Raw genomic sequence first — 27,751 nt, forward strand, 5'->3', positions numbered from 1 at the left:
TTTCTTCTCCACTGCTCCCTCTCTCTACCTTCGTCTATCCTATTCCTCTCTCCTCACTCTTCTCCCTAATTTATAAAACAGCTTTGAATAGAGGTGGAAGTTAATGTGATTCTGATTTTCATTCTCTTTAATTCTCTTTCTCCAACTTAAGAAACATCAGGGCAGGAAGGTAATTAATTATCCTAGCATCAATGGCTTAAAGAAGTACAGCTCCAGTCTGATGAGTGACAGTTTGAGGTTTTACCTGAAGTCTCACTTGACTGTCAAGTATCTCAGGGTCTTAGTTCTCTGGCTTGACTCAGTGAAATCCCTGGACTTCAGTGACCATGCATTAGCCATTTCCTGCCAGGCCACTTAAGTCCTGAGTCCTGATGCTGAACTGCCTTCTATAGTGAAATCTTTACTTGTTCACAAGGTTTGTCCAGAAATGAGTTGAACTTCTAACCCGATTAAATAGTAAGTCTCAAACATAATTAAATTTCCTTCAGAAGGGCGCACTCATCCCCACACATGCAGAAGAGGGTGACCAGGACAGCTGCTCAGGAGTGTAGGCAGGAATGTGTGGGAACCTGTGTACTCCTGTCACTTGTGGGCTTGGGGCCCCTCCTGCCAGGCTGGTAGCTGGGTGTGACCAGGGAAGCAGCCAGCAGGGAGAAGCTGGTTCTGCAAGGTGAAGTCTGGCAGACTCTGCATTTTAGAGCAGCTGACTGCTCAGCTTCACAAGTGCTCAGAGCTTACTTCTTCAATCCTATCACCTCTGCATCCTGTTCTGCCAATACGAGCAAAGTGCTTACTGAGTGCCAGACACCCTGCTAAGCACAGTATTATATTAGCTCACTTAGTCCTCATATCCAGATGAGCAAACTGAAGTCCAGAGAAGTTATGTGAAATGCTCAAGATCAAAGATTGGAAAATGGCAGACTCCAAAGTCCATGTTTAGCTTAAGTCTTAAACTTGACTTCTAATTTTTCATTTTATTCCCTTCACTGTGGTCTCCCAGGTTTCCCTTGTTTCTGACAGTTGATAAAGTTGCCTCCTTTTTTTTTGAGACAGAGTTTCGCTCTTGTTGTCCAGGCTAGAGCGCAATGGCCTGGTCTCGGCTCACTGCAACCTCCACCTCCCGGGTTTCAAGCAATTCTCCTGCCTCAGCCTCCTGAGTAGCTGGGATTACAGGCGCCTATCACCACGCCCGGCTAATTTTTGTATTTTTAGTAAAGACAAGGTTTCACCATGTCGGTCAGGCTGGTCTCGAACTCCTGACCTCAGGCAATCCACCCGCCTCAGCCTCCCAAAATGCTGGGATTACAGGTGTGAGCCACCACGTCCGGCCAAAGTTGCCTCCTTTTAATTCAGATCCTTGGCTCTCCTCCTCCACTCCCACCGGCCCCACCTCCCAACATCAGCCCTACTCCACCCCACAGGTGGTAACAGGGATTTATACCTCTTTCCAGATCCCCCTGCCAGCTCCTGCTCTGCTCTCCTCCCTCAGGTACCCCTTAGCAAACACATGTCTTTCATGTGCTCTTTCTAAAATGCAAATCTGGTTACTTCACAAGCTCAATTAAATGCCCTCAGCTGTCCTTAGGAATGAGACTAACCTTTCCTGATCTGGTCCTCGCTACCTCTCTAGCCTCCTCATCTACTTGCTCCTTGCTCTGTGCCTAATCACACACTCCTTCTGGGTTCTGGCTGCCCTCTGACTGAAATTCCTGTTATTCCCGGTCTGCCTACTCATCCTCTAAGGGTCACCTGAAGACATTCCTCTAAAAGTTTCCGGAAACACTCTTCTTCAAGGCAGAAATCACTGTTCCTCCTCCATCCTTTCCTAGACCACAAACCCAGATCACACCCCACTATGATCACTAGTCTTTCCTACCAGGCCAGAAGGTCTTTGAGAGCAAATACACTTGCTTACTTAGTTCTGTCAGTGCCCTACACAATTCAGATTTTTAATCAGTGTCAGTTGGATGAGTTATTTTCCCCCTTTGTGCCTATTTTAACATATTCCCTCTGGATAAAAATTCTGGAGTTGCAGGGCAACAAACAGTAGAGCTGGCCTTGGTCCCTCCCTGGACGCACTGCAATTGCTGGTGAGATGGCTGCCTAGAGGCAACTCTGCTCACAGAGGATCGCGGGAAAAAGCTATTCAGTTCAAGAGGTATTTACCTATTGATAAGGTTCCTCTGTGTGTCCTCCTCACTCATTAATAATTTCAATAATAATATATTAACAATAACAGTAATAATTGTTGTTAATAGTAATAAAATACAGCATGTTCCAGGAACTCACATTCAGGATTATAGACCGGAGATGCTTCTGTGCAAATGCATTTGCCATATCCTGTGGAGGAAAATAAGCAAATATAAGGCAGGGTGGCAGGCACACACCTGTGACTACTATCGAGAGGAAGGTGATGTCAAAATTCTGGGCCTTTTTTGCTTTCTTAAATTTTTTTCCTCCCAAATGAAAAGTGGGTGAATGAACGAAAATCCACTGACCATCAGATGTATTTTACACTCTGCAACATTCCCTATTTTTGTGAGTGCAAATTAATTCAAATAGGATTTCCTTTCCTAATGGCACAATCAACTCCACTGTCTTCAAAGAGAGATGAGGACTGCTTGAAGATGAGACGCTTGTGTCACAAGGACATTGCACATGGACACAGAGCAGTGTGATGGTTTCTAAGCCACATGCATCGTGCCAGGTAGACCCCACTGCTAAGGCTAGAAGGAACTCTAGTGAAGCACTGACTCCAAACAAGGAAGGGCTTTGGTCCAGCAACCCCCTCCCACCCTACAGCAGACGGCTGGGGTCTGGACGCTCTACAACAGTAAGTAGTCTAGGATTCCGTTCTAACTGGCTTAGAGAACAATGAGTCTGGTGTTTTGGGTAATTTTTTATAACAGGCTCACCTTTTTTATAATATTTGATCCAGACTTTGATAGTTATGCTTTATTTATTTAGCCCACCCAGGAAATCAAGTTTCCTACATAAATGAATCTTCCAGGGAGCAAAGCTTTAAGGGTTCTCTCAGAATCATTATTTTGACCATTCTTATGCAAATCTTTTAAAGACATATTATATACATTTATTTCTGAAGTGACTACAGTGATAATTTAATCACTGCTAAGGAGTCGGCTTCATCAAAAAGAACATCAGTGATTATTCTGTGTTGTGACACTGTGATACCCTGAGGAGCTACTGAGATGTGAAGCTATTTTCCCATAAACAAAATGGTCCCAGATTACAATGCCTTTAATTTTTCTGACAGCTTTTCATAATTCTTGTCTCCTCCTTCCAGTGTCGACCATCACTTCTTACTGATGTTAATTACCATGACTTCATTTTCTAAACTGCTGCCTTCATTTAATTTTATAGAGAATCCTAAATCAGTGGGCCTGAGGGAGCTGTCACACCTCTCCTATGGAGTAGTATCTGTGAGCTCTGTGTCATTTTTCTCAGAGCTGAAAGGCCCCTCTGTCACACTTCTGGATTTCTAGCCATATTCCAAATGGCTAATGCTGCCAGGAACATTAAATTTTACTTTGCATTCTCTGAATACATACTGGCTAGCAGAGGAGGACAGTGGCCTAGAAACTTCTCTGGTAACTATAGGAGGTCGACTGAGATTAAATCTTGCTGTGGACAACTCATAAGGTGGGTAATTGACAGTGGTCTGCAGCTAGAATATAAAGGTCTTAGACCAAAAGCTTCTCTGTGGTGTCAGGGGGAGGCACTTATCCCCTTTCATCTCCTCGCAAAGCTGACCTCTCTAAAGCTCCCTATAATGAAGAAATGAGCATCCAAATTCCCTTTTGTCGATTGTCTAAACCTTTTCGGATTCCCACGGTCTAGTAAGAGTCCAAAAAGGGCACGGATACCTTTTCTCTTCCACTAAAGCAAGTAAGAAGGTGACGCATCCATGGTATTGTCTAGATCAAAGTTACGAGCTGTTTCTGAGTCTGGTCTGCCCTAGTTGAACTACAGACCCATGCAAAGGCAAGTTATAAAGGAAGGCTGGGGCCACACTCCCTGGGGCAGGTACCCCCTTAATCCTTTCTGTGACTCTAATCTGCAGTACTTCCCTAAGTGTCCTGACAAAGGAGATTCACAGCACACAACCTTTCCCTGGGTCTTGGCATGCCCTGAACATCTAGATCAGACCATGAGATTCTTGCCTAGCTTTGACTTCCCCACCTGCAAGAGCTGGGGCCCTTTCCACATGGCAGTGCTACTTACAGTGACAGGCAGGTCTAGAGGATTAAGGTGCTTGTCCTGCCGGCAGAAAGCAAAAGCACAGAGAGAAGCAGACGGAATGAGCTTTCAGCTTACATTCAAACAAGGACCGGGAAGGCAGATTAACAGAGCCAAGCCATCCAAGAAAGACAAGGACAGACAGAACCACAGATGCTTCTGGTCTTCCCTCTAGAATCTACCAAGAGCTGGGTACATACATGATCCCACTTGAATTTCATCTTACTGAGCCCATGAGATTGTCAGAGAACTAAAATGTCTTACTTTTAACACCACTTGGGCTTTTCTCAGAGAAATCTAGAATGTTAGTATTGGAAGGGCTGTCAGAGATCATTTAAACTGGCCCTTTCATTTTACAGAAAGAGAAACTGAGACCCAAAAAGAGGTTACAAACACTTGTCCAGCCAGCAGCAGGGAGAATACTTAGTCCCAGGCCCCTCGGCTCTTAGGTCAGTGTTTGTTCCACCACCCAGCTGATTCTTAGTTTCCTTATTTGTGAAACAGGGATCTTGTTTTTCCTCAGACATCCTTGTGAGGTAAACAAGGCAGATGTTGTTGCTCCCATGTGACAGGTGAGGAAACTAAGGTTCACAGAGGCAGAGCTATCTGCATAATGTCACAGTTAATGAACAGGGGAAGGAAGATGTTTAGAATCTCCATCAGAGAACCTTTAAACCTAAGATTTAGTGTGAAATCCCATTCATATTGGACTCCTTGGACTCAGGGTAGCCACAGGGTCTCCTCTTCCTTATTCTTGATTCTGTAACCCAGGAGTTGGCAAACTATGGCCATATTAGGCCTGTTGCCTGTTTTTGTAAATAAGATTTTATTGGAAGACAGCCATACCCATTCATTTACCTACTGGCCGAGGCTGCTTTTGGCTACAATGGCAAGGTTGAGTAGCTATCACATAGACCATATGGCCCATAAAGTCAAACATATTTATTCTCTGGCCCTTTAGAGGAAAAAGTTTGAAGGGCCCTGCTCTCATCTAAGACCCAGCTGGTTTCCCCTCATAGGTCTTCCCTGGGTCTTCCTTAGCAAAGCCACCCTCCTGGGCTCCAGACCAGACAGCTAAGAGGAAGAACTCTTGGGAAAATTGCTGGATTTGTGCTCTCTGCATAGCAAAGAGTGCATGGGGTGAGAATTATCTCAGAAGAGCCCAGATGAAAAATGTGAAAAGGCAGCCACAGACCTGTCGTTTGTCCTCAGGAGCCTTCAGAAAAAGTGCATTAATCAGTGCAATGGCGTAGGTCTGAATCTCCTGGTTGGAGCTGTGTCAATGGAGAAAGAAGAGAGAGGGAGATTAGAAGACTGAACAGCAAGATGATGCTTAGAAATGGTTTAAAACAATCACTCACAGATTATAAGCAAATAATGATCTGGAGCTCAGTCTCAAAAGCATTCAAAGTGGGCATGCTCTTGACCCAGCAATTTCACTAATAGGAATTTATCCTAAGACAGTAATCAGAGAGCTATGCAAGATTTACTGACAAGGCGTTTCATTAAAGTACTACTTAAAAAAGAATGGAAAGTAATCCAAATGGTCACATTAGCCAACATTTATACATATGAGAATCTTAAGTAGTTATTAAAAGTCATGTTTTAGGGTAAAGATTCTTAACCTGGGATTCAGGGATGAGCTTAGAGTATTTGTGAACCCCAGGAATGATACAGAAATTATTCTATGTAGTTTGCCAACTAAGTGGTATTTTTTCCAAACTGGTGAGAGTATATACTTGTTACCAGATTTTCAAAGGTGTCTAGGTTGCAAAAAAGACTTAGAACTACCCTTTTAGAAAAATCTTTGACATGGAGAAATGTTCAAGGTGTATTATTCAGTTAAAAAAAATCAAGGTACACATAGTATATATAATGAGATCCCGATTTTGTTAAAAATATGCATAAAAATACTGAAGGGACATTCAATTTAATGTTTAACAGTGGGTATGTCTGGAGGTGAGATAATGGGCAAATAATTTTGCGTTTTTCTGTATTTTTAAAGTCTTTGACTATAAACTTATTTTATTATGAACAAACAAAATAACTACAATCATTCTCTGGAATCTTACAATCCTGGTACTTGACATCTCCACCTGCCATGTCTTGGGTGCATTCTGTGGCTGTCTTTCCAGAGGGTCTGATGGGCTTCCTGGTTAGTCACATGGTACCCAGGGAGTCTAACAGAGGGCACTAAGTATCCCTCAGCCCAAAAAGGAAAGCATATAAGTTCTGGTGACAGCTGTGGGCTGAAAGTATTGGCTCCTATGAAATGCCATGTTCCCCTATCATCCCTAGGGAGGCAACTGGGGCCACTCTGAATTCAGAGACAAAAAAAAAAACCAGAGAAGTAGATGTGAGGTTACAGGAAAATCAGAATTCTCTATCTGGAGTTTATAATGTCCCTCTCACCTTAATCAACCTTGGTGGCTCGCTGGGTATGAAAGCTGAGGCTAGACCAGGCATGGTGACTCACACCTGTAGTCCCAGCTACTCAGGAGGCTGGGGTGGGAGGACTGCTTGAGCCCAACAGTTTGAGACCAGCCTGGACAACACAGCGAGACCCTGTCTCTACAAAAATAAAAAAAAAAAAAAAACTAGCCAGGTGTTGTGGAGTGTGCCTGTGATTCCAGCTACTCGGGAGGCTGAGATGGGGAGGATCGCTTGAGCCTGCAGTGAGTTATGATCATGCCACTGCGCTCCAGCTTGGACGGCAGAGTGAGACCCTGTCTCAAAAAAGAAAAGCAAAGAAAGCTGAGGCTGAAAATTCCTTAAAAGTGACAAGGAGAAATCAGAGTTGCAAAGAAATAATTGTGCTTTCTTTTTACTTGGATTAGTGGGGAAAAACAAGTTGGGAGCATAGCTGAGTGAAGACAGGGCCACTATAAACTCCCAAATCTGGGAGCTATGACTTCCCCTCGAACTGGTGGGGGATTCTGGCAACATTCTGACAATGTCTAAAAAACAGAAGTGAACAACAGTCAGAAGAGAATCAACAGGAGTGCCACCACTGTTTTGCAAAGTCCAGCTTCCTTACATGGTGTAGGTTGGTTGGAAGTGAGGTAAAAACAGCGGAGACGGGAGAAACATTGCTCCAATGGGTTCATTTGTCATATGGTCTCAGTATCTGGTAAAATGTTTTAGGATGTGATAAGAGTCTTAACAAACAAACAAAGGAAAAAAGCCCCTGAATTTACTGAATACCTAACCCAGGTTGGCCTCTATGCTGGACCTTTTTAAAATCTCCTTTGATCCTCACAGTGTGAGAGGTGAAGGTGATTAACCTATTCTAGAGATGAAGAAACTGAGGCCAGAAGAGACTAGGTTACTTGCTGATGGCAGAGACCTAGTATGCAGAAGAGCCTGGATTTGAACTGATATTCCAAACTCACACCTGTGTGATATTTCTTACAAATCACCCACAGTGCATCGTCGGTTCAGTGAGCATTCATTCAACAAGCACTAATTGAGCCTCTACTTAAATCAAAACAGGGGATACAACAATGATTGGTCTCTGTTTCAAGGGGGCTCTATGTTCAAAATGGGCAACAGATAATAAAAATCCAGTATTTTATATAATTATCATAGGTACAGAGACTACTGGGCCCATGTGAGAAAGCATCTAATTTTGCCTGGTACCACCCTGGTATGGGAAGACTGGGAAAATCTTCATTTTAACCTAAGGGGCAGAGAGAGTTACAGAGGATTTTGGGCAGGAGCATGACATGATCAAGTCTGAATGATGGGAGAAATTCTGGCAGGAGTGTGGAAGAGGTGATGAATGAAGAAGCCAACCAACAGCTTGGAATATAAGCAAAGGAGAGTAGGATTGGAAGACTTAAAATAAGAGGAGAAAAGAGGACAGACAAGTGAAGGGAGGGAGGTGTAGGGTTTTTTACTCACACCTGGAGGTGTGAGATGAGCTGTCCCACGGTGATTTCCTCGGCTATCTTCTGGTACAGACTCTGGCTGTTCAAGACCATGCTCTCCAGGATGGCCAGGGACCTCTGAAGGATTGACACGTCCACCATGGGCTGGCTCACATACCCTGCAATCTAGACCCAGAGATGGCACATCAATTGAGAAGCTCAGGGCCCAAGAAAGATAGAAGCTTAGCATCTGATGCTAGCCCTTGAAGCTCTCTCTGCTTCACATTTGGGCAGCTGTTGCTAGGTGGATAGTGGTATCTGGTTTACGGCTACCCTGGCCAATGTGCCAGGGATTCCCTTGGCATGGATACCTTAATCTCAGATTATAGTATCCACTTAATTGTGTTTCCTCAAAATCTAAAAGCTTAATTCTTTTTATCAAAATAAGGGTTCCAGTTTGAGAAAGTGGGGTATAAAAAAGCAGAGGATTTTACTGATACTGGGATCTCATTTTATCTCCATGTACCTCCCCTGACACACACTCCCCCTAAACACACTTAGACTTTGAGAGGTAGAAAGGACCTTGAAGCCTTTTACTCTAATCCTTCTTCTCAGTCCCCATTATAATATCCTTGACACATGGTCATTTCACTTGTGTCCAGTGTCGGGGAGTCCCAATGTCCTAAGCCAATGATAGCTGAAGTTCTAGGGCAGCAGATACAATATTATTCATTGGTTTTAGTTCAGTATTCTGAATTGACACTGCTCCTTTGTGTAAAAGAAAGGAGGGTAAAACCAGAAGTACCCTCTCCTACCCACTGAACTTAGTCTGACAATCCAAACAGGCTACCTTGCAGATTTGTAAATAGAAGGCAAATTTACAAATGAAATGCAAATTTTTTTTATATATATACAAAAAGAAGAGAGAGCTCAGGAAGTCGGTCAAAAGACTCAGGGCTAGTACTGGTTGACTGGCTGGCTTTATCCCCAGTCTCACTGACAATCTAATTCTACTTTGATCATATTTAGTTCTGACGGTCCAGTTCCATCTCAGTGCAGGCCCTGAGAATATAACAAAATGCAAATCTTTCAGAAGCCACAGAAGACTAGAGCTTGAGGATGAAAAATCTGGCCCCAGGGAATATAAAGCTGATCTCACCAGAATGGCGATATTGCCTGTATCTCCCCTTAAGCCTTGTGAACTGGCAGCTGAGGGAGGAGAGAAAGACAGAATGTTGGAGGCCTCACCTGCTTAATAAAGGTGATTGAAACCATGTCCCAGGAGACAATGCCATGGTCCATGAGCTCTAGGAAGGCAGTCAGGGTGAATGCCAGCATCTCACTGTAGCTGAGACACGTGCAACACACACACAAAATAGACAAAGATTCAGATCGGGAAACACAGGTGTGAGGGCAGCCACAAAAAAGATGAATTTTAATGTGAACACCCCATGGGAAATCAGTCGATGCAACTGTAACTGTAAGTGCCTGTGTGCACACCTAGCCAGTGTAGAGCAGATTCAGCCCAGGTATCTATCGCTGCAAAAAAAAAAAAAAAAAAAAATGTTGCTGGGTAATTAGATCTTCCTTCTCCATATGCTTCATCCCAGGGACACAGAATCACTTATCTATTTCCCAAGACCAAAGAAGACATTGGACCTTTGTCAAACTCCAACACCTGTTGGGAGAACCTAAGGAAGTGTAAGTGCCATGTTAACCTTTGGGCCAAGAGGCAGTAGAGTGCAAGAGATGGGTTCAGTTCCTGTCCACCTTACTAACCAAGCAAATTTTATCTTTTCAAAATTCAATTTCTTCCTCTGTAAAATCAAGTTAGTCTCACAGCGTTAACCTCACAGGGTTGTGGAGACGACAAGATGATGATGTATGCAAAGCTCTTATTCTAGTGCTGGTAGAGAATAAGGATTAAAATGTTTTCTCTTTTTTCTCTTCTCCTTATACATTTAATCCTTTATACATCTGTACAGTGCTCTAGAATTAACAGATGATATTCCTATTTACAAAGCATGTTCAGACACATTCTCATTAACAATACTTCTCACAATAATACTGCAAGGTAGCTATTATTATCCTCAGGCTGAAGAGAGTGAAACTAAGGCCAGTCTAACCCTGTACCCTTGGGAGACTGTAGAACTATGTCAGTGCTGATGGCAGCTGAAGGCTTCAGGACTTCAATACAGCTGGAAGATCCAATATGTAAAACAAATATCTATGATTAGTTACTCGATTTGGCTAACAATTTCAATAGTTGATCTATGGGCTGAGAAGATTTCTGACTCCCTCTTTGGCAGGTTAGGCTCCAAGCACCTGTTTACTGACTGCTGCTCACAAGGCACAGCTGCCCACCGCATGCATGTGAACTCTGGGGTATGATGAAGATGCTTGTGGGTATCACAAAGTTCTGGTCTCCTCCTCCCTGTGCAAAAGTGTGGCAGGGAGATGGTGAATGGGTAGGTTGACACCTGTGGTAAACACAAAGGAAGGCGTGTGTGTGTGTGTGTGTGTGTGTGTATGGGCTGGGAGGTGACTGAAGAGGGAGGAGCAGGGGATGATTACAAACAGACACCTGGGAGATACTGGACCATCTGCTCACTAACCCTCATCAAACCAAACATTTCCAGCAATTAACAGGTCTGTCACGACGTGACTGCTCTCCTCCTGACTTCTCTAGCCCCTATTTTCACTGCTCACTTGGCACAGTACTGTTTTGTACTGTTATTTAATTTGTGAGAGCCCAAATAGACTACACGATTTAGAATCACAATATGGAATTATATATCTTGGTATGGACTCTAGTGCTTGGCACACTGCTCTGCACACAGGTGGTATTCAATAAACTCCTTATTTGACTCAAGGGAAATGAGACTAGGATGCCCTGTGGGATGTAGTAAATCGTCGAAGTCCTTGGAACGAGACCTTAGTCATACTCACTGGGACAAGAGCTTGGTTCCACTTTCCACGAGCCTTGTCAGCACAATGATGCCATCCATGTTGATGAACTCAGTAGCGAAAGTCACGTCGGCAGAGAGCTTGGCCAGCTCCTTCATGGCATCCAGCCGGGTCTCCATGTTGGATGACTGGGTCCTCTCCATCAGCTGGCGTGCAGCCCGGGACTAGGAGGCCAGGGACAAGATATGTGCCATCTGCTCCTTGGAGCAGGTTACTACTCTGTGGATAGCTCACAGAGGCCCTTCTGTGGACATCCAAACCTGAGGCAGAACTAGTTTTTTCACACAGCTTAGGAGTTGCTAAATAAATGTTTGTGGAATCAATCAGGGAGTTATTAGTATGCCAAAACCAATCTGTAGTTATCTGCATCTTTTCTGTACCGCTTTGGCCTATGGATTTAAAAAATTCCTACCAAGGGAATACTGGAGGCATCTGGGAGGCCCACTAACGATGGTAAGTCACAGAGAAACAGATACTGGTTTAATAGAGGAAGGTTTTCTATTTAAGCTGTCTTGCTGGGTGCGTGGCTCATGCATGTAATCCCAAGGCTTTGAAAGGCCAAGGCAGGATTGCTTGAAGCCAGGAGTTAGACACCAGCCTGGCCAACAGAGTGACACCCTGACTCCCAAAAAATTTTTTAAAATGAGCCAGGTGTGGTGGTGCACACCTGTAGTCCTAGCTACTCAGGAGGCTGAGGTGGGAAGACTGCTTGAGCCCAGGAATTCAAGGTTGCAGTGAGCTAGGACTGCACCACTGCACTGCAGCCCGGGTAACAGAGCAAGACTCTCTCTCAAAAATAAAAAAGAAAATAAAATTGGTCAGGTACAGTGGCTTACACCTGTAATCCCAGCACTTTGGGAGGCCAAGGCGGGCAGATCACGAGGTCAGGAGTTCGAGACCAACCTGACCAACATGATGAAACCCCGTCTCTACTAAAAACACAAAAATTAGCTGGGCATGGTGGCATGCGCCTGTAATCCCAGCTACTCAGGAGGCTGAGGCAGGAAAATTGCTTGAACCCAGGAGGTGGAGGCTGCAGTGAGCCAAGATCATGCCACTGCACTCCAGCCTGGGCAACAGAGTGAGACTCCATCTCAAAAAAAATAAAATAAAATAAAATAAAATTTATAAAACTGTTAGACAGCAGAAGAGGTTTCTCTTGAGGTATTAAGCTCCCTGTCAGCAGAAGCAATCAAGGAGAATCTGGACAACCACCTGTCAAAGACGCTGTAGAAGGGATTCTTGCATTGGGTGAAGAATTTAATCTGATGTCCTCTAAGGTCCCTTTTAATCCTAAAATGTGAAAAGCCTGGCAATTTTTTAAAAACTTTCTCTTAGAATCCATATGATTGTTCCTCAAAGTGACAGTTCTGGGGAAACTTTAAGAACATCAAGGAGCCAGAAACAATTTCCCAATTGTTTTTTGAAAATGAAGGCTGGTGAAGACAAAACCTCCTCCTAGCACATGAACTTTTCCTAGCAGGATGCCTGCCTCCTTTTCTGCAAGCTGCGGCTAAAATCCCTCCTCTAGTATTCACTGGGCTTTCCTTCCGCTGAGCTCATTACTACATAGTGCCTCACAATTTATTGTTTCATCATTCTCTGTTTTTTGGGTGTTAATTTAATGTTCTCCACTAGAAAGCAAGAGACTTAAGAACAAAAACACACCTGTCTTCTTTCCTTTTTCTCAGTGTTAAGCAAGTGACTGGAGCCCAATTCCTGCTGCCGCCAAGGAGTCAGGCCTGCTGGCCCTCTCCCCTTTGCCTCTCCTCTTTTACTATTACAAAGCTGGCCCTTCAAAGCACAGTGCTCTCTGCAATACAGAAGCCCTCGCTATCTCTACAGTGGAGAAAATGTGCGCCACGGGAAAAGGTCATAGCATAGAACAATCTGAAGAGCACTGGTCTGCATCCCACTTAGAAACCTCCAACTCCAAATGTCAATTTTCCTCCTGAGACAGCATTTCTGGGCTGCTGCCTCCCGCTCCAGAGAGATGTGCTTCTGGGAAAGTCAACTACACTGTGCAAGAGGTCTGTGAAATGTGTCGGCACTTCCATAAAAGTGAGTAACTCCCAGACTGTCATATTAAATTACCAGAGCTTAGGAGGGAAGAATGAAGTCCTTAAGATGAGAAGAGTTCAGGAGAAGAGGGGGAGGCAGAAGAACATGATGGGAGGAATATGGGCCTAGAGTCAGACAGACCTGGGTCTGAGAGCGGGCTTGGCTACTTTATTAGCTGTGTGACAAGTGGCAAGTAATTTAACCTCTCTAACCCTCAGTTTCCTTGCCTACAGAATGGGGCTATCAAGAGTACCTATCTCATGGGATGTCTGTAAAGATTAGATGATTTAATTACACAAAGTATTTAGCAAAATATAGGCATTCAGTAAACGCTGGCTGATATCACTTCATACCTCCCCTCCTCTCAGATGAACCAGTCTCTCTCTGCACCAAGAAAAGAAGTGCCATCATGCCCTTAATTTTCTGGCTGCCCTTCTACAAATGTAACCAAAGGTGCAACCATATTGGCTGTCTTCTTCATGGGCCTAGCAGTCAAAGTGATTCCCTCTACCTGGGCTTTGAGTCCTTCCTCTCCTGGTCCAGTAAGGTCCTGTTCTATTGATTACCTGCTTTCCTGCACCTTCAACCTTCCTCTCTTCCATCTGAACACATTCTTAAGGGCACATAAAAAATTGCAACAGAAACAACCAACACGAAGGGTCAGAAAGGTGGGGAACTGGGCAGATGGGGACAGGAGTTGCGGGGAGACCTTTTGCTACATCTCTGTGAAAATTTTTGATTTGTGAAACACATGAATGCTTTACCTGCTTTTAAAAAGCACATCTTTTTGACTCCACGTCCCCTTCGCATTATCACCTTCTCTGTGTTTTCTTTTAAAACCAAGCTTCTTGATACAGCAGTAGACTCAAAGTCCTCACTGTTTTACCTTTCTTTTACTTGACCACTTCAGTGTGGCCACCTGGCCTCCCCACCATAACTTTTTTGTGAGTATCACCAGTGTCCTCTAACCTCCCAAGTCATTAGACAGCTTTTCTGCTCTCAGTTTACTAAATCTCTCTGCTTATTAAAAATTGCAGACCATACTCTCCTCAGTCCTGACACTCTCCCTGCCCAAAGCTCCTCAGTCACTTCACCTTCTTGGTGTTCTTTCTACCCTTCTGGTTGCTTCCTTAGTGACCTTTAAGGGCTGCTCTTGCACAAATCAGGGTCATCCTCCATTCTCCCCTTTCCTTCCACATCTAGCATATCACCATACTCATAAAGCTTACCTCCTAGATACTCTTCATATCCATCCTTTCATCTCCATTACCACTTGCCTTCACTGGGCTGTTAACATTCCTTATTAGCCTCTTCAAAGGTTCCTACTACCACCAACCTTCTTCTTAAGGCCCATCTTCCACATGGTCACTAAAGTGATCTTTCTAAAACTTAAAATCTAAACATAACATATCTTCCTGCTTAAAATTCTTCAATGTCCCCAGTTTCCTTCTGGACAGAGTTGAAACCTACGAGTAGGCCATCAAGGAACCTTGAATATCTGGCTTCTCAATGACTGCTACAAGCCTCCAGCCACCCAGCACTCCTGCTTTTCCCAAACACAGCATACCTCTGTGCCTTGGCATATGCTGATTTCTCTGACTGGAATACTTTTCCTTTTCTTATTTCTCTAGCTAATTCTTGCTCATCCTTTAACATCTGAGCTAAGTGACGCCTTCTCTGGCAAGACTTTCTGGAAATCTCCAGGCTGAGTTAGGTGGTCCCCTTTGTGAGTTCCCACAGCTCCCTAAGCAACTTTCTCTCAAGACCCTTGAGACAGGCCTTCTATTGCATTTGTTTACTCCCCACTAGGTGGTGAGAACCAAGACAGACTTATTTTCCTGTACTATTTCCTGATACAAAAAGACTGACTTTCTTATCTCCAGAGTACTTATTTCTAGAACAGAGTCTGGCCCATGGTAGGTGCTCATATTTGTTTGTGACATGAATAAACTCCTAAGGAAGAAAGAATACCTACCGGGGAGATAGCCAGTTGTAAGATTGTCCCATTCTTAATGTCACTGCGAGTCTGGGTAGTGAAAAATAAACAAAAAAAGTAACTAAGATAAAATGTTAAAGTGGTACAAGCAAGTTGAATCAACAATAATGTTTTGTCTTTTTTACAGTAGATGTAACTGAGGATCTTCAGTCGGGCCCTCTTCTCCTGCTTATTCCTTGGCAAAGAATTTCTAAGATCCTCCTCTAGCACCCTGGGCACTCAGGAAGTAAAAGCCACCTTTTTCTAGCCACTAGGGAAGAACAAGGGCTGGTGTTTCCCAGTCTGTCCGGAGAGTGACTCTTTACCCAACACATGGAAGCTACCTGGATGCTGAGTGAAGATAAATAGTGCCGTCTCCTTGGGTCGTTTAATTCCAAGCAAGGCCCATATTGATTTTGCCTCTCCCTGTACTAACCTGTTCGGTGATGTACAGCTGAGGACCATCTGCATAACGGAGGGTATAATACTCTGGGTTTGGCAACGACCACCTATGCAAGAGAAAAACAGTATATCCCACTTGGCCACTCTCTTGTTCAGAAGCTGCTCATAAGTAATTTTCAAAAGAGTTGCTCAAGGGATTGGGTGGCCTATTTGGAATACAGTGGAAACAAAGCTTTAGGTTGTCATGTTGAAAAAATCATGGCCTCAGCCTTTTGTAAAGATGAGCACCACAATAGGAGGTGTGCAGAACTGAGGAGGGGTCTCAGATCCTACCTCAATAGGGCAATGCTAGACTTTAAGGAAAAAATTAAGAAGTATAAACGTCTTAGGGGTATGGTTGTCAACTGTACTTCCTTCCCAAGACAATGATTCCCAAGACCCCCATGCTGAGGACCTGCCTAACTGGAGATCCTTCCCAGAACTCCCCTCAAGGTGTAGGAGTGCTCTTTCAGTCGGAGCTGCCACTGTTGAAAACGAGGTCCATTTCAACCTACCCATCACAAACTTCCTTGATAATGGATGCCAGGGGCCGTTTCTGAAAGAGAGAGAGAGAAAGCCTTCAACAGCAGCAACATCCTACTCATGCCAAGGTTCTGACAAGAGGCCTGCCAAGCAGGGTCAAGCTGGGGCATGAGAATGAACTTCTTTCCTAACAGCTTTTGTTGAAGAGGAAGCCTCTCCCAAGCCATGGTGACCGACCTTCCCTAGGGTGGGCCAGGCCCAAAGCTTAGCCTTCCTGTTGCTCGTTCTTACTCTTGATGCCGGTGGTCCCCATCCCTCAAGATGTCCTCTGCCATGCACTCCCCAGGTGCCTTTCCTTGAACCACTGCTTCTCACTTCAGGAGCATACCTGGTCGATTTCAAGGAGCTGGGCGTTAGCACCTGGCCACTCAATGGCCACTTTGACAATGTCTGACGGTGGTGGCATCGTTCCCAATGGGCTCTAATTCTGCGAGACAAAAACACAGACACGGCTGCCTGGGGAGAAAGAATCAGAAAGGTGGAAAAAGAGTATTTCTTCATTTTTCACTCTTGTTACATGTTTTGAAGAGTTTGAAGACAGACACTGCATAAAGTAACACATGAAACTACCTGGTTTGAATTTTTCTAGATCATACCACAACTTCTGCTTAGGATTTTGTCTCTTGAGATTAAATCAGCAAGAAGAAATGGGACAAACTATCTATCATCCATAGATCAGCCAGTAGCAAGATATGCCAATGTGGCACTTCAGTTTAAGAGTCAAGAAGACTCAGTGGTAGAGGAATGTATTTACTGCAAATTCCTGTCTTGAGACCTTGGGAGGAGAGAAGCATATGCTCCGAGACAGATAAGAATAGACAGCCTTTTCTTGGTTGAGTGGTTAGCTGGAGGAGCCAGGCTACTTCTTTCTGCAGTCATCCTAGGAAGATCCCAGCATCAGCAGGGCCCAGCTACATGCTCTCTTGCTTCCTCCCCACTCATCGATGCCACCCCTTTCCCCTCAAAGGACACAATGCAAAGCCTCCTCTGTGTGGGACGACATCAGAAAATGGGGAAGATAACTGGGACAGGAAATGCTATTTTCGTCCCTACTGCCAAGGGCAAGGGCGGCTGACAACTCAAGTGGAGAGAGGTAAGGATATCCTCACACAAGGGCCCCTCTTATAAGGACAAGGCTTTGCAAGTACCTCTGACCCCCTCCCCCACTTCTCTCCAAAATAAAGGAAAATAAATCATCCTGAGCAAGTCTGGAAGATGGGCCCATGTGACTGGTATCCTAGGCAACTCTGATAGCTTACTGGTATTCCAAGCAGTAACTAAAGCATTCTCTCTCCAAGGTCTGACGAAGGGAAGTCACTTGGCTGATGGATTATTTCAATGTATATTTACACTCCTTGCCTACAAGTTCAGGAGAGGCCCCTCTCTTAATGAAAAAGACCTTTCTGCATCCTCCAGGTTTAGCCATTCACCCACAATTCATGCCTCGCTAATGGGGACCACCTGCCTCTCCTGGCGTACAAAGCATAGCTGTCGCGAGGCTATTATGCATGTATGCTATCAATTTTTCAGCCCAAACACAGATGTCAGTTCTCACAGCCTGGTAAGTATAAACCTCTTAGATGAAAAGGAGTAAAAGTCCTGTCCCCCACAAGCCCATCGGCCTCAGAAAGAGGGATGCTTTCATGACCATTTCCTAGTCAGAATGGGATGCTTCAGAAGTCTACTGTCATAAAAAGCCAGCATTTCCAGAACATGACAATGTAAAGGAACTAGTTTTCCAAGTGCTTTCACTTATTTTATTGTGTCCTCCCAGCAGCCCCACGAATTAGGCAGAACAGGATTATCACCTCCATTTGAAGATGGCACAACTAAAGCTCAGTGTTTTGTTAAGTGCCCAAGGTCACCCAGCTAGTAAGTCATAACGGTTGACAGAACTTGGACTGGCTTCGGCCAATGCTTTCCCCTTTTCCTTTGAGCCAGCCTCAACTTCTGTCCACTGCAATTAAACGCAGCCTAAAGGGATTGAAGTGGGTTGGCCTTATGGCCCCCAAGGCTTCCATAACTTCTGCAGCTCATGGCAGAATTTTTCACATGTAATTTTTATGTGCCTAGACACACGACAAACCTCAGAAAAGAAACTGGCCCTATCTGCATAATTTCTGGGGAAAATGCTCTGCTCCAGTTACAGCAAGACAGGGAGTTCTTGTTCTAGGGGTGGCGCCATCAATCTCTGGATGCTTAGAGATGCATCCTTATCCTTATCGGCAAAGCTGCTGCAATTAGTAGACAGGACTGCACGGTTGTGAGGTCAATTTTAAAAACTGAGATATAATTTACATACAATAAAATGCAGAGGGCTTAAGGGTACATATGTTTGTATATATAAATATACATCATATAAATATACACATGCATCTCCCTGTAACCAGCACTCAAAACGAGACACTGAACATTTTCATCACCCTAGAAAATTACTTCATACTTCCTCTTCCCGTCAATCCTTCCAGTCCTTTAAAGGGGAATTTCTGACTTATCATCATCCATGAGTTTTGCCTGGTTTTGTACTTCATATAAATGGAACTATACGATATGACTTTTTAGATCATTTGTTTAGTTTGGCTTCTTCTTATTTTTAAAATAAGCAGGCACAGAAGGTACAACAGAAAGAACACTGGGCTGGGATAATTGTCCCTGCTGAAACAAGTGACTGGATTTAGAACCAAAGGCCTCAGGACCCAATCCTAGGTCTTTCACAATGTATACATGGCCCTTTAACCAAATCTCAGTTTTCTTCTATTGAAAGATGTGAGTGTAGAACTAAAGCATGTCTCAGGTGCCTTCTAAGTCTAAAAGTCCATGATTCTTAAGTGGAATTTAAAAAATCCAAGTGAGGATGCCCATTTTAAAGTCCTTACCAAATGAAGTTACACCCTTCCTTAATTTCGATGGTGCTGCTAAGAAACAAACCCCATGATTTTTAACTCCTTTCTGAACGCCGTCTTTGGAGATTAAGCTAAAGCTCATTAGGTTATAGCTATTATTTTCTCTTGACCCCATATGACATATCCTAGATTGACTCTCTCTTTATTAAAGTTAGCCCTGAATGATTCTCGGCTGTTCAAAAATTCGTATACATTTTAAAGCATGGAGATTTGCAACCACCAAACTATTTGAAAGATATTAATAAGCCCCCATTCTCAGTGACTCTGTCCTTCCCACAAAGCCCAGGCAGCCTCTCTGAACTGAATGACACTCTCCACAACCCTGCCATAGCTGATGGGACTAAAGTGAATACCCAACTTTAGCTGAACTATTCCAGTTCTTTCTCTTGAATTTAAAAGACAGAGACTGGCTGGGCGTGGTGGCTCATGTCTATAATCGCAGCACTTTGGGAGGCCAAGGTGGGTGGATCGCCTGAGGTCAGGAGTTTGAGACCACCCTGGCCAACATGGCAAAACCCCGTCTCTAGTAAAAATACAAAAAGTAGCCAGGCATGATGGTGGGCGCCTGTAATCCCAACTACTCGGGAGACTGAGGCAGGGAGGACAGCTTGAACCCAGGAGGCGGAGGTTTCAGTGAGCACAGATTGCACCATTACGCTCCAGCCTGGGCGACGGAATGAGACTCCATCATAAATAAATACACACATACATACATACAAACAAATAAAAGACACAGACTAAGGGAACTGGGTGATAATGACCCTGGAGAAGTAAGATCATAGTAAGCTTCAGAGCGAATACCATGGCAAGCCAAAGATCCGTACGAGCCAAAGATATGGAGAATAAAAAACCAAGAGCCTTTCAGAGGAAGTGATTCTGCAGGAGGAATCCATAAATATCTAAATGAACTGAGGCCAGAAATCAGAAAGAGATGGAAAAGCCATTACCTGCTAACTTTCCAGATTATGTGGCTATTACTTCCTATGCTCGGGGTACCTGAAAGTCCACTGTATCCTGCCAATAAAACTCCTATAAATTAAGCTAGTCTATGTTTCTACTCATTGCAACTAATACGCCTAAGACCACAGCTGCCCCCAAGCTCTGCAGGAACTCTAAAACGGAGGTCTGAGCAGACAGCAGCATCACTAGCATATGATGATGGTACTGGGTAAGCACTTAATTAACAATGGCTGAATTAATGAGAGCAAAACCCATGGGTTTGCTCTTACCCACTAGATAAGTCTGATTTGTTTGAAACAGATCGGTTATATGGTAACTTCATAGTAATCATATATCTAGTAGTAACGTACAGGTAGCCTCTTTATTTTTATTTTTTTAAATTTTTTTTAAAAGATGGAGTCTTGCTCTTGTCGCCTAGGCTGAAGTGCAATGGCATGATTTCAGCTCACTTCAACCTCTGTCTCCTGGGTTCAAGCGATTCTCCTGCCTCAGCTTCCTGAGTAGCTGGAATTACAGATACTCACCACCACGCCCAGCTAATTTTTGTATTTTTAGTAGAGACGGGGTTTCACCATGTTGGCCAGGCTGGTCTTGAACTCCTGACCTCAGGTGATCCATCTGCCTCGGCCTCTCAAAGTGCTGGGATTACAGGCGTGAGCCACTGTGCCCAGCCCAGGTAGCCTCTTTATAGTTGATTGCTCACTTCTATATCATTATTATAGTTGATGCTCATAAGAACTCTGAAAAACATTCCTACCTTACAGGTAAGGCAACTGAAGTTCAGACGGATTGACAAACTTGTTCTCCATGTACCTCTTTCTACACCTCCCTCCTAAAAGAAGGAAGGAAAGAAAAAAAATGAAGGGAGGGAAAAGAAATAAAACTAAATCAACCCAACACATCAGAACTGGGTCTCAAGCCTAGGTCTTAGGACTCCAAAGCGAGTTCTCATCGCTCTATATAATACTTCCTTAGATGATGACATTAGCTAGCAATTACATAATGCTAAGGCACTATTTTAAGGGCTTTACATATATTAATTCATTTAATCCACACAGCAATGCTGTGTGGTATGTTATTATCCCCACCTTAGAGATAAGAAAATGGAGGCACAGAGGAGTTAAGTAGAAGGCTCAGTGTCACATAGCTAGCAAGTGGCACAGCCAGAATTTGATACCAGGTTGTCTGGTGTTGCTGGAAAGCCATGAGAAAGCAGGTGGCTCTGCACCTGACCCGCAGCAGGTGCTTTGTGGAGATTTCTGGTTTGTGTATCTGAAACCAAAGCACACTGAGGCTAAGAAACCTTCACAGCAAGAACTCACCATTGTAACAGAAGACAGCTCTCCACTGTCTACAGGTGGGCCACACTCCCTCGTGTGCTATTTGGTCCTTTACAATCTAGCCATCCTGGACTACGGGCTATTTCTATAAGGCAGGCCATGTTCTTTCAATTCTTCTGTACCTTTGCACATTCTCTTCCTCCTACTGACTGTCAGAAGAGCTCCTATTCAAGCATCAGAGCCTAGTTCGGATGTTACCTCCTCCTTGTACTAGTCTTAGCTTTCTCTACTTTCCCTGGCAAAAGTAAATAGGACAGGGGCCTCTGTGTTCTCACAGCATCCTGTTCATACTTCCGTTAATGAGTACGATTTTGTCATACTCTATTACAGTTACATATTTACACATCTCCACTAGCTCCTCCTCCAGAACAGGTATAACTCTGCAGTCTCATAACCTAGCACAGCACTTGGTGTCCAGTGAAGGCTCAGTAAGCACCTGTGTCTGCTTAAACCCAATGGCTCTGATTTCTTCCACTCCTGTGAACCAGGCTGGCTCCAAACAGACAGGGACAGGCATGAACTGTGCAGGCTGTCTGGTGTTCCCTCTGCGTCCCAATACCCTCTAACTACACAGTATTTCCATTGTTTAACAGTTTGTTTTGGCTGGGCGCAGTGGCTCACACCTGTAATCCCAATGCTTTGGGAGGTCAAGGCAGGAGGATCACTTCAGGCCAGGAGTTCGAGACATTTCTCTACAAAAAATAAAAATTAGCTGGGCATGGTGGCGTGTGCCTGTAGTCCCTAGCTACTCAGGAGGCTGAGGCAGGAGAGTTGCTTGAGCCCAGGAGTTCGAGGCTGCAGTGAACTATGATCATGTCACTGAACTCTAGCCTGGGTGACAAAGTGAGATCCTGTCTCTATTAAAAAATAAAAATAAAATAAAAAACTGTTGTTTTCATATCAAACATTAGAATAAGTCTTACTGAAAAATCAGGGTTAGCACCCCTAACTCTAGTTGAAAGAAAGAGGAAAACCTCCCTCTGCTTTTCTCCCTATCGAAAAGAAACATCAGGAGATAGGAGACTAGAAATAATTCTGTTCTCCAGATAATATTCCCAGGATAAAGGATCTCCTTATAGGGAACCCTTCCAGCACGTGTTTGCTTACTCCCTTCATTTTCATTCTAGAAAGGAAGTAGAAATTAGGTCAAAGGAATTCAGTAACATTGCAAAATTCTCAGGGTTATAAATAGCCTCTTGCTCCGCCACTCAGCAGTACTGTAGCTCAATTGCAAACCACCAGCATAAGGGAGCTGTAGTTCCATATCCAGGCCCAGAGGGCCCCTTCCGGATTAAACAACTCCCCACCCTTCTACCTTCCACTCCTCTTTAAGCATTACAGATATAAGGATGATTTGGAAAACTCAAAATGCTACAAAACAGGAGACAGGCACACACTGACCTGATGACAATTTTACTATAAGTCATAAGAATGAAAGGCCAGTTTTTCAAACACAGAGCTGGGAAAAGTAGAGAAAAATAGGAACATTAGTGTCTCCAATGGAGCAGTCTCTAAGTGGCTTCTAGAAGGTGTGCTTATAAAATCAGCACTGTTACAGAAGCCCCATGGAGCTTTATCAATCACCCATGCAGTGACTGCTGCTTCACGGAGCTGGATTCTGAGAGCAGGATTGGAAACCGAATCTTAAGGAATGAAGTGAAAGATGATCTCCTCCTATTAGTAAGGAATTTGGGATGAAGAATGCCAGGTTTCCAGCTCCCCTCCTTCCCCCTATTCCTTTCAGGATAAGAACGGATGTGTACTTTTTGTTCAGTTATTTGGCTTTTGATTTGGTGAAGGAGGCATGGGTAAGTTTGGTTTATGTTTCCTGCAACAGAATGCAACCTCATCAAGAAGGCAAGTTGGAGTCACGCCCTTTCTAATCGAGAACACAATCTCTATAAAGGCTTCCCCCTCTGAAATCTTCTCATCTGAGAAGTGATTCAACTTCCCTTAGTTCAGTCCACTGAATGACGATCAGACTCTGAGGTACAGAAAAGGGAGGATTTGACTGGCAGAGATTAAGGTTCTTATGTTTACTGCTGGAAGCCCTGGGAAGGACCACCATACCAACAGCAGCTGAGGTTTCCCCTTTTTGTTGAAGTATGTTAGACACAGGACTCATTCACACATGGTAAAAAGCCACAAACTTACATAGAGGCAAAGGTGTGGTGAGAAGGGGTGTGGGGGCAGGGGAACTATTTGGGTTTCTTCATCTTGATTCCTGCTGTAAGAATGGCCTGGGTCTTCTCTTATCCTGCACAGACACCTTCTGTAGTGTTCCTATACTTAAAGAATAGTGCTTAAGTAAGCTCCTTAGCAGAGCATTCAACTTACTCCAGTTCCACCGTGGCTCTGTGGTGGAACTGGCTTTCAGATTCGCTTTTGCAGATGCCATGTTCTCACCAGACCACCTGTTCCCTGAAAAACCATGCTCTTCTGAGTCTGTATGTTTGCTTGTGCTATTATTTCCTCTTCCTTGTCCAGCTGGCAAACTTCAACTCAACCTTCAAGGCCCAGCTAAGATAATCACTCTTCTATGTGGCTTTCCTAATCCTCTCACCTCAGGGAAAATTAATTGCAGCCTCATCTGTGATCCCAGTCTTCTGTACATACCTTCCTGATCCTACTGATTTATAATTCTCTATGTGCAGTCTCTTCCCTGGCTACGATAGGTGTGATGTGCATACCAGCAGCGGCAGTATCCCTGGGAGCCCAGACCCACCCAATCAGAATCTGCCTTCAAACAAGATCCTGAGGTGGTTCAAGTGCATGTTCAAGTCTGGGACATAGGCTCTAGATCAGATAAGGTCCGAGAAACAGTGGTTCTCAACTCTGGTTGTGCACCATCAACACACACCCCAGGTCATTTATAAACTCTCAGATGCTCAGGGTTGACCCACAGCTCCAGGAGAGTTGACAACCTGAGGGCAAGGACTCATGAAGCCTAAGTCTATTCCCCCATCTACTCTTCCCCCAGTTTGCAGCACACTGCCTGCCACATAGCTGTGTCCACAGAATTCCACAGGAAAATTCCCTCCAGGGTGCCTCCAGACCTAAATGCCTTCAGAAGAGAGTGAAAACACTACTGACTGAGGATTATTAATTGCCTAGAACTTTCCAAATCCCTAACCACAATGACTGAAGAGATGAATTTACAAAAAGTCAGTGTTTACAAACCACTTACCTCAGTTTTTGGAAATGAGAGGAAACAGAAACTGAGATGGAAAATACAGATGAACTTCAGAATTAAACTTTAGAAAACCGTGATTGCACAAGGAGATGGAGCTTGGGTAGGGAGGGAGTGTGGTGTGCTGGGAAGAGTCCTGGGTTACAACTAAAATCTCGGGCTGTGAACTCCTTCAATACTGACCATAACAGCACAGCATTGTTCTCAGTGTAAAATCAGGCCAAGCCCTTTCATTACATAAATAAGGGAACTGAAGTCCAGAGAAGCTGGCAAGGCCATGCCACCAGTTAGGGACAAAAGAAGGCCTAGGCCCCCACTTCTGGTTTAGTCCTCCTCCTGCAGCACAGCTTTGCCACAAACACAAGCCTTTCTGGACCTCAGGTCCTGATCTACATCGGGGGCTGGACTAGATGTTTTTGAGCTTTCTTCCAACTTTGGCCTTCTAGTGAGGAAGTGTAGCTTAACAAGTTAGGAGCTGTGTTCTGGAGTGGGAAAGGCCTGAACTTGGATCTTAGCACTAACGATTTTCTTACCTGTAAAATGGGGATTAGCATCAACTCTACCCCGTAAAGCTGTTGTGAGCATCAAGTGGGATAATAAAGCACTAAGCATAATAGCAGAATTCTAACCGTGTGAACCTGAAGAAACTGCAAAAGCTCTGAAACCACGTTTCCCCAACACAGTAAGCCCTACCTGCTAGGCAGGTATGTTGTGTATTGTTGACAAAATAAGAGAGCATATGTGAAGGCAGTCCGGGAGGAAAGTCAATACAAAAGGCAAAGCATTTGTTGGTGTTCCACTATTATTATTACTATTTCCCAGTGGAAGAACTTTGGAAAATGTTATGATCAGTTCCAAAGCAGCAGCTAATACAATGCCTGGCAAATAAGAAGTGCTCAACAAATATTTTCTAGTGACTCACATGAAACCAGCATAGCATGCCTAATAGGGTTATAAATTCAAATGTCTTGGGCAGCCAAGCAGGTAAGTAAATAAAACAAGCAGCCTCCATGTAGGGTCTGTAACACTGCAAAGTACCACCTTGCCTAGAGGAGTTTAAATCCAACATTTTTAAAAACACATCATGCAGCTTGGCCAAGACAGCCACTTTGCAGCCTCCAGCCCATACTGATTCTGGCTCTTCATTACACCTCATGATGCCTTGCATACCATCTAGTCATTTTATGTGATCCAGTCTTGTCTTTCCAAGTATACCTGAAGCATCCTGAAGATGAAGGCTATGACATACACCGCCCAATCACCAAAAATGGCTTACAACAGTGCTGGTCACGTGGTAGATACTCAGTGAGCAATTGCTGAACTGGGGCTGTAGGCCGGGCGCCGTGGCTCACGCCTGTAATCTCAGAACTTTGGGAGGCTGAGGTGGGCGGGTCACTTGAGATCAGGAGTTCAATACCAGCCTGGCCAACATGGTGAAACCCCGTCTCTACTAAAAATACAAAAATCAGCCGGGCACGGTGGCAGGCACCTGTAATCCCAGCCACTCAGGAGGCTGAGGCACAAGAATCGCTTGAACGTGGGAGGTGGAGGTTGCAGTTAGCCGAGATGGCACCATTGCACTCCAGCCTGGGCGACAAGAGTAAAACTCCATCTCAAAAAAAAAATAGAAAAGCCAGGCTATAAACTCAAGCCTAGTATTCTCAGCACCTCTGAGATGCTGCATGGTATGTGTTTTTTTCTATCCAGGTCCTGGGACCAGACTTAGTCCAGGCTGGGCCGAGGTATGGTGACCAGGTCAAAGGACTTGCCTTGCAGGGTTTTCTTCAACTGCATCAAATATGCTTCTTGCTGAGCCACCTTGGCAGGTGGTACTGCTACATCTGGACACATTATCTGAGCACAGAACAAGCTAGAATATGCTGTACACTGAAGTTTTTAAAGAAGTTTGGTCCTGACTTCCTGTACCCTCAAACTTCCTTTGCACCTCCTAGAGTCCACATCAGATATATAGAAAGACCAGACTGAAGATGAACAGATAGAGGTCCTAATCTCACCTCCTCCACTTACAAACTCTAGAATTATCCCCGGCAGGCAACCTCTTTTAGAAGCTTCACTATCGATATCAGTAAAGTGCAGATAACAACAGTTATCTCAAAAGACTCTAGAGGGTATACAAAGTGTGTGACACTGTACAGCCCAATACCACAATCCCTGGCCATAGGTGGTTACTAAGCACTTGAAAAGTGGCACAGGCTGCCCTCTGTGTAAAATACAAACCAGGTTTCAAAAACTTAGTACAAAAAACAAGAACGTAAAATATCCCATTAATAATGTTTTAATATTGATTATGTTATAATAATATAATTTTGGAATATATTGTGTTAAATATATTACTAAAATAATTTCAGCTGTTCCATTTTTTAATGTGGCTACTAGAAAATTTAAAATTATATCTATGGCTCACATTACATTTCTATTAGACAGCAGCATCACTCTAGCATAGAGCCTGGCACACAAAAAGCATTCCAAATGTCAGTTTCATTCCCCTGCAGGTAGGACATCAGTGACCACGATTCACATCCCCTTCCTCTTGCCAAATTCAAACCCTGCATCTATTTATTTGGTAAATATTTATATTGCCTGGCCCTGTGTGAGATGCTAGAGATACTACATGAAGCAAAACCGACACTATCTTCTTCGTGGACCTTACAATCTGGTGGGATGGACAGAGAAATATCAATACTTTTGTAAATAAATGTAAAATTGCAGTTGTGCAAGTGTTGTTAAGGACAAGTACCCAGGGTGATAAACGTGGGGTACTGGTCGAAAAGTCAGGGACAGGGATGCCTCCCCTGCAGAAGTGATGCTTAAGCGGAGATCTGAAGGATGAAGAAGAGTTTACAAGACTAAGCCAGGGGAGGAAGAGCAGACCAGGGAGGAGGAATACTAAATAAAAGGCCCCAAGGAAGGCAGGAGCTTGGGATGTAGAAGGAACAGAAAGAGGCCAGTGTGTGGAGAGCACTGAGCAAGCGGACGGACGAGTAGACAGACTTGGGAGAGGTCAGCGGGACCGGATCTCCAGGGCCTGGGTGAGGTTCTGGATCTGACCCTACAAAGGGGTGGGACGCCGGGCCAGTTTCATGCCCTAAGCATCCAGATCTGCTCTGCATTTCTCGGCTGGGCGCGGTGGCTCACGCCTGTAATCCCAGCACTCTGGGAGGCCGAGACGGGCGGATCACTTGAGGTCAGGAGTTCGAGACCAGCCTAACACGGTGAAACCCCGT

At 44.2% G+C, this 27,751-nt stretch overlaps 1 protein-coding gene and 1 long non-coding RNA gene across 10 annotated transcripts in view, besides 1 other annotated feature; one reads left to right on the top strand and one right to left on the bottom strand.

The window, feature by feature from the left end:
* The window catches only part of LOC124904917 (uncharacterized), a 33,481-nt gene extending 13,425 nt beyond the window's left edge, over positions 1-20,056 (top strand). The window contains exons 1-3 of one of the 3 annotated variants that reach the window (XR_007067615.1): positions 9,737-9,827; positions 12,785-13,154; positions 15,278-20,056. This is a non-coding gene — a long non-coding RNA (uncharacterized LOC124904917). Of the gene's footprint in view, positions 1-9,736; positions 9,828-12,594; positions 13,155-15,277 lie in introns of those variants that run through there. The other 2 variants (XR_007067614.1, XR_007067613.1) reach the window with 2 other exon arrangements.
* Positions 1-27,751, bottom strand: part of ELMO2 (engulfment and cell motility 2) — a 40,566-nt gene that overhangs the window by 11,914 nt on the left and 901 nt on the right. The window contains exons 2-11 of one of the 7 annotated variants that reach the window (XM_005260496.4): positions 20,734-20,808; positions 16,442-16,540; positions 16,086-16,126; positions 15,566-15,638; positions 15,130-15,180; positions 11,076-11,257; positions 9,375-9,474; positions 8,161-8,312; positions 5,453-5,531; positions 2,290-2,340 (exon numbers count right to left, since the gene is read on the bottom strand). In XM_005260496.4, coding sequence (XP_005260553.1) covers positions 2,290-2,340; positions 5,453-5,531; positions 8,161-8,312; positions 9,375-9,474; positions 11,076-11,257; positions 15,130-15,180; positions 15,566-15,638; positions 16,086-16,126; positions 16,442-16,519 — 807 coding nt within the window. In that variant the 5' untranslated portion in view covers positions 16,520-16,540; positions 20,734-20,808. Of the gene's footprint in view, positions 1-2,289; positions 2,341-5,452; positions 5,532-8,160; positions 8,313-9,374; positions 9,475-11,075; positions 11,258-15,129; positions 15,181-15,565; positions 15,639-16,017; positions 16,127-16,441; positions 16,570-20,733; positions 20,809-27,751 lie in introns of those variants that run through there. The other 6 variants (NM_133171.5, NM_001318253.2, NM_182764.3 and 3 more) reach the window with 6 other exon arrangements.
* Positions 16,271-16,770: an enhancer, noted in NCBI's record as "NANOG-H3K4me1 hESC enhancer chr20:45022873-45023372 (GRCh37/hg19 assembly coordinates)". NCBI's record gives its function as "activates a minimal SCP1, AML or CMV promoter by ChIP-STARR-seq in primed H9 embryonic stem cells {active_cell/tissue: H9 hESC(primed)}" and the evidence as "EXISTENCE:reporter gene assay evidence [ECO:0000049][PMID:30033119]".

The sequence above is a fragment of the Homo sapiens genome, chromosome 20, assembly GCF_000001405.40.
Source record: "Homo sapiens chromosome 20, GRCh38.p14 Primary Assembly".
Taxonomy (NCBI): Eukaryota; Metazoa; Chordata; class Mammalia; order Primates; family Hominidae; genus Homo; species Homo sapiens.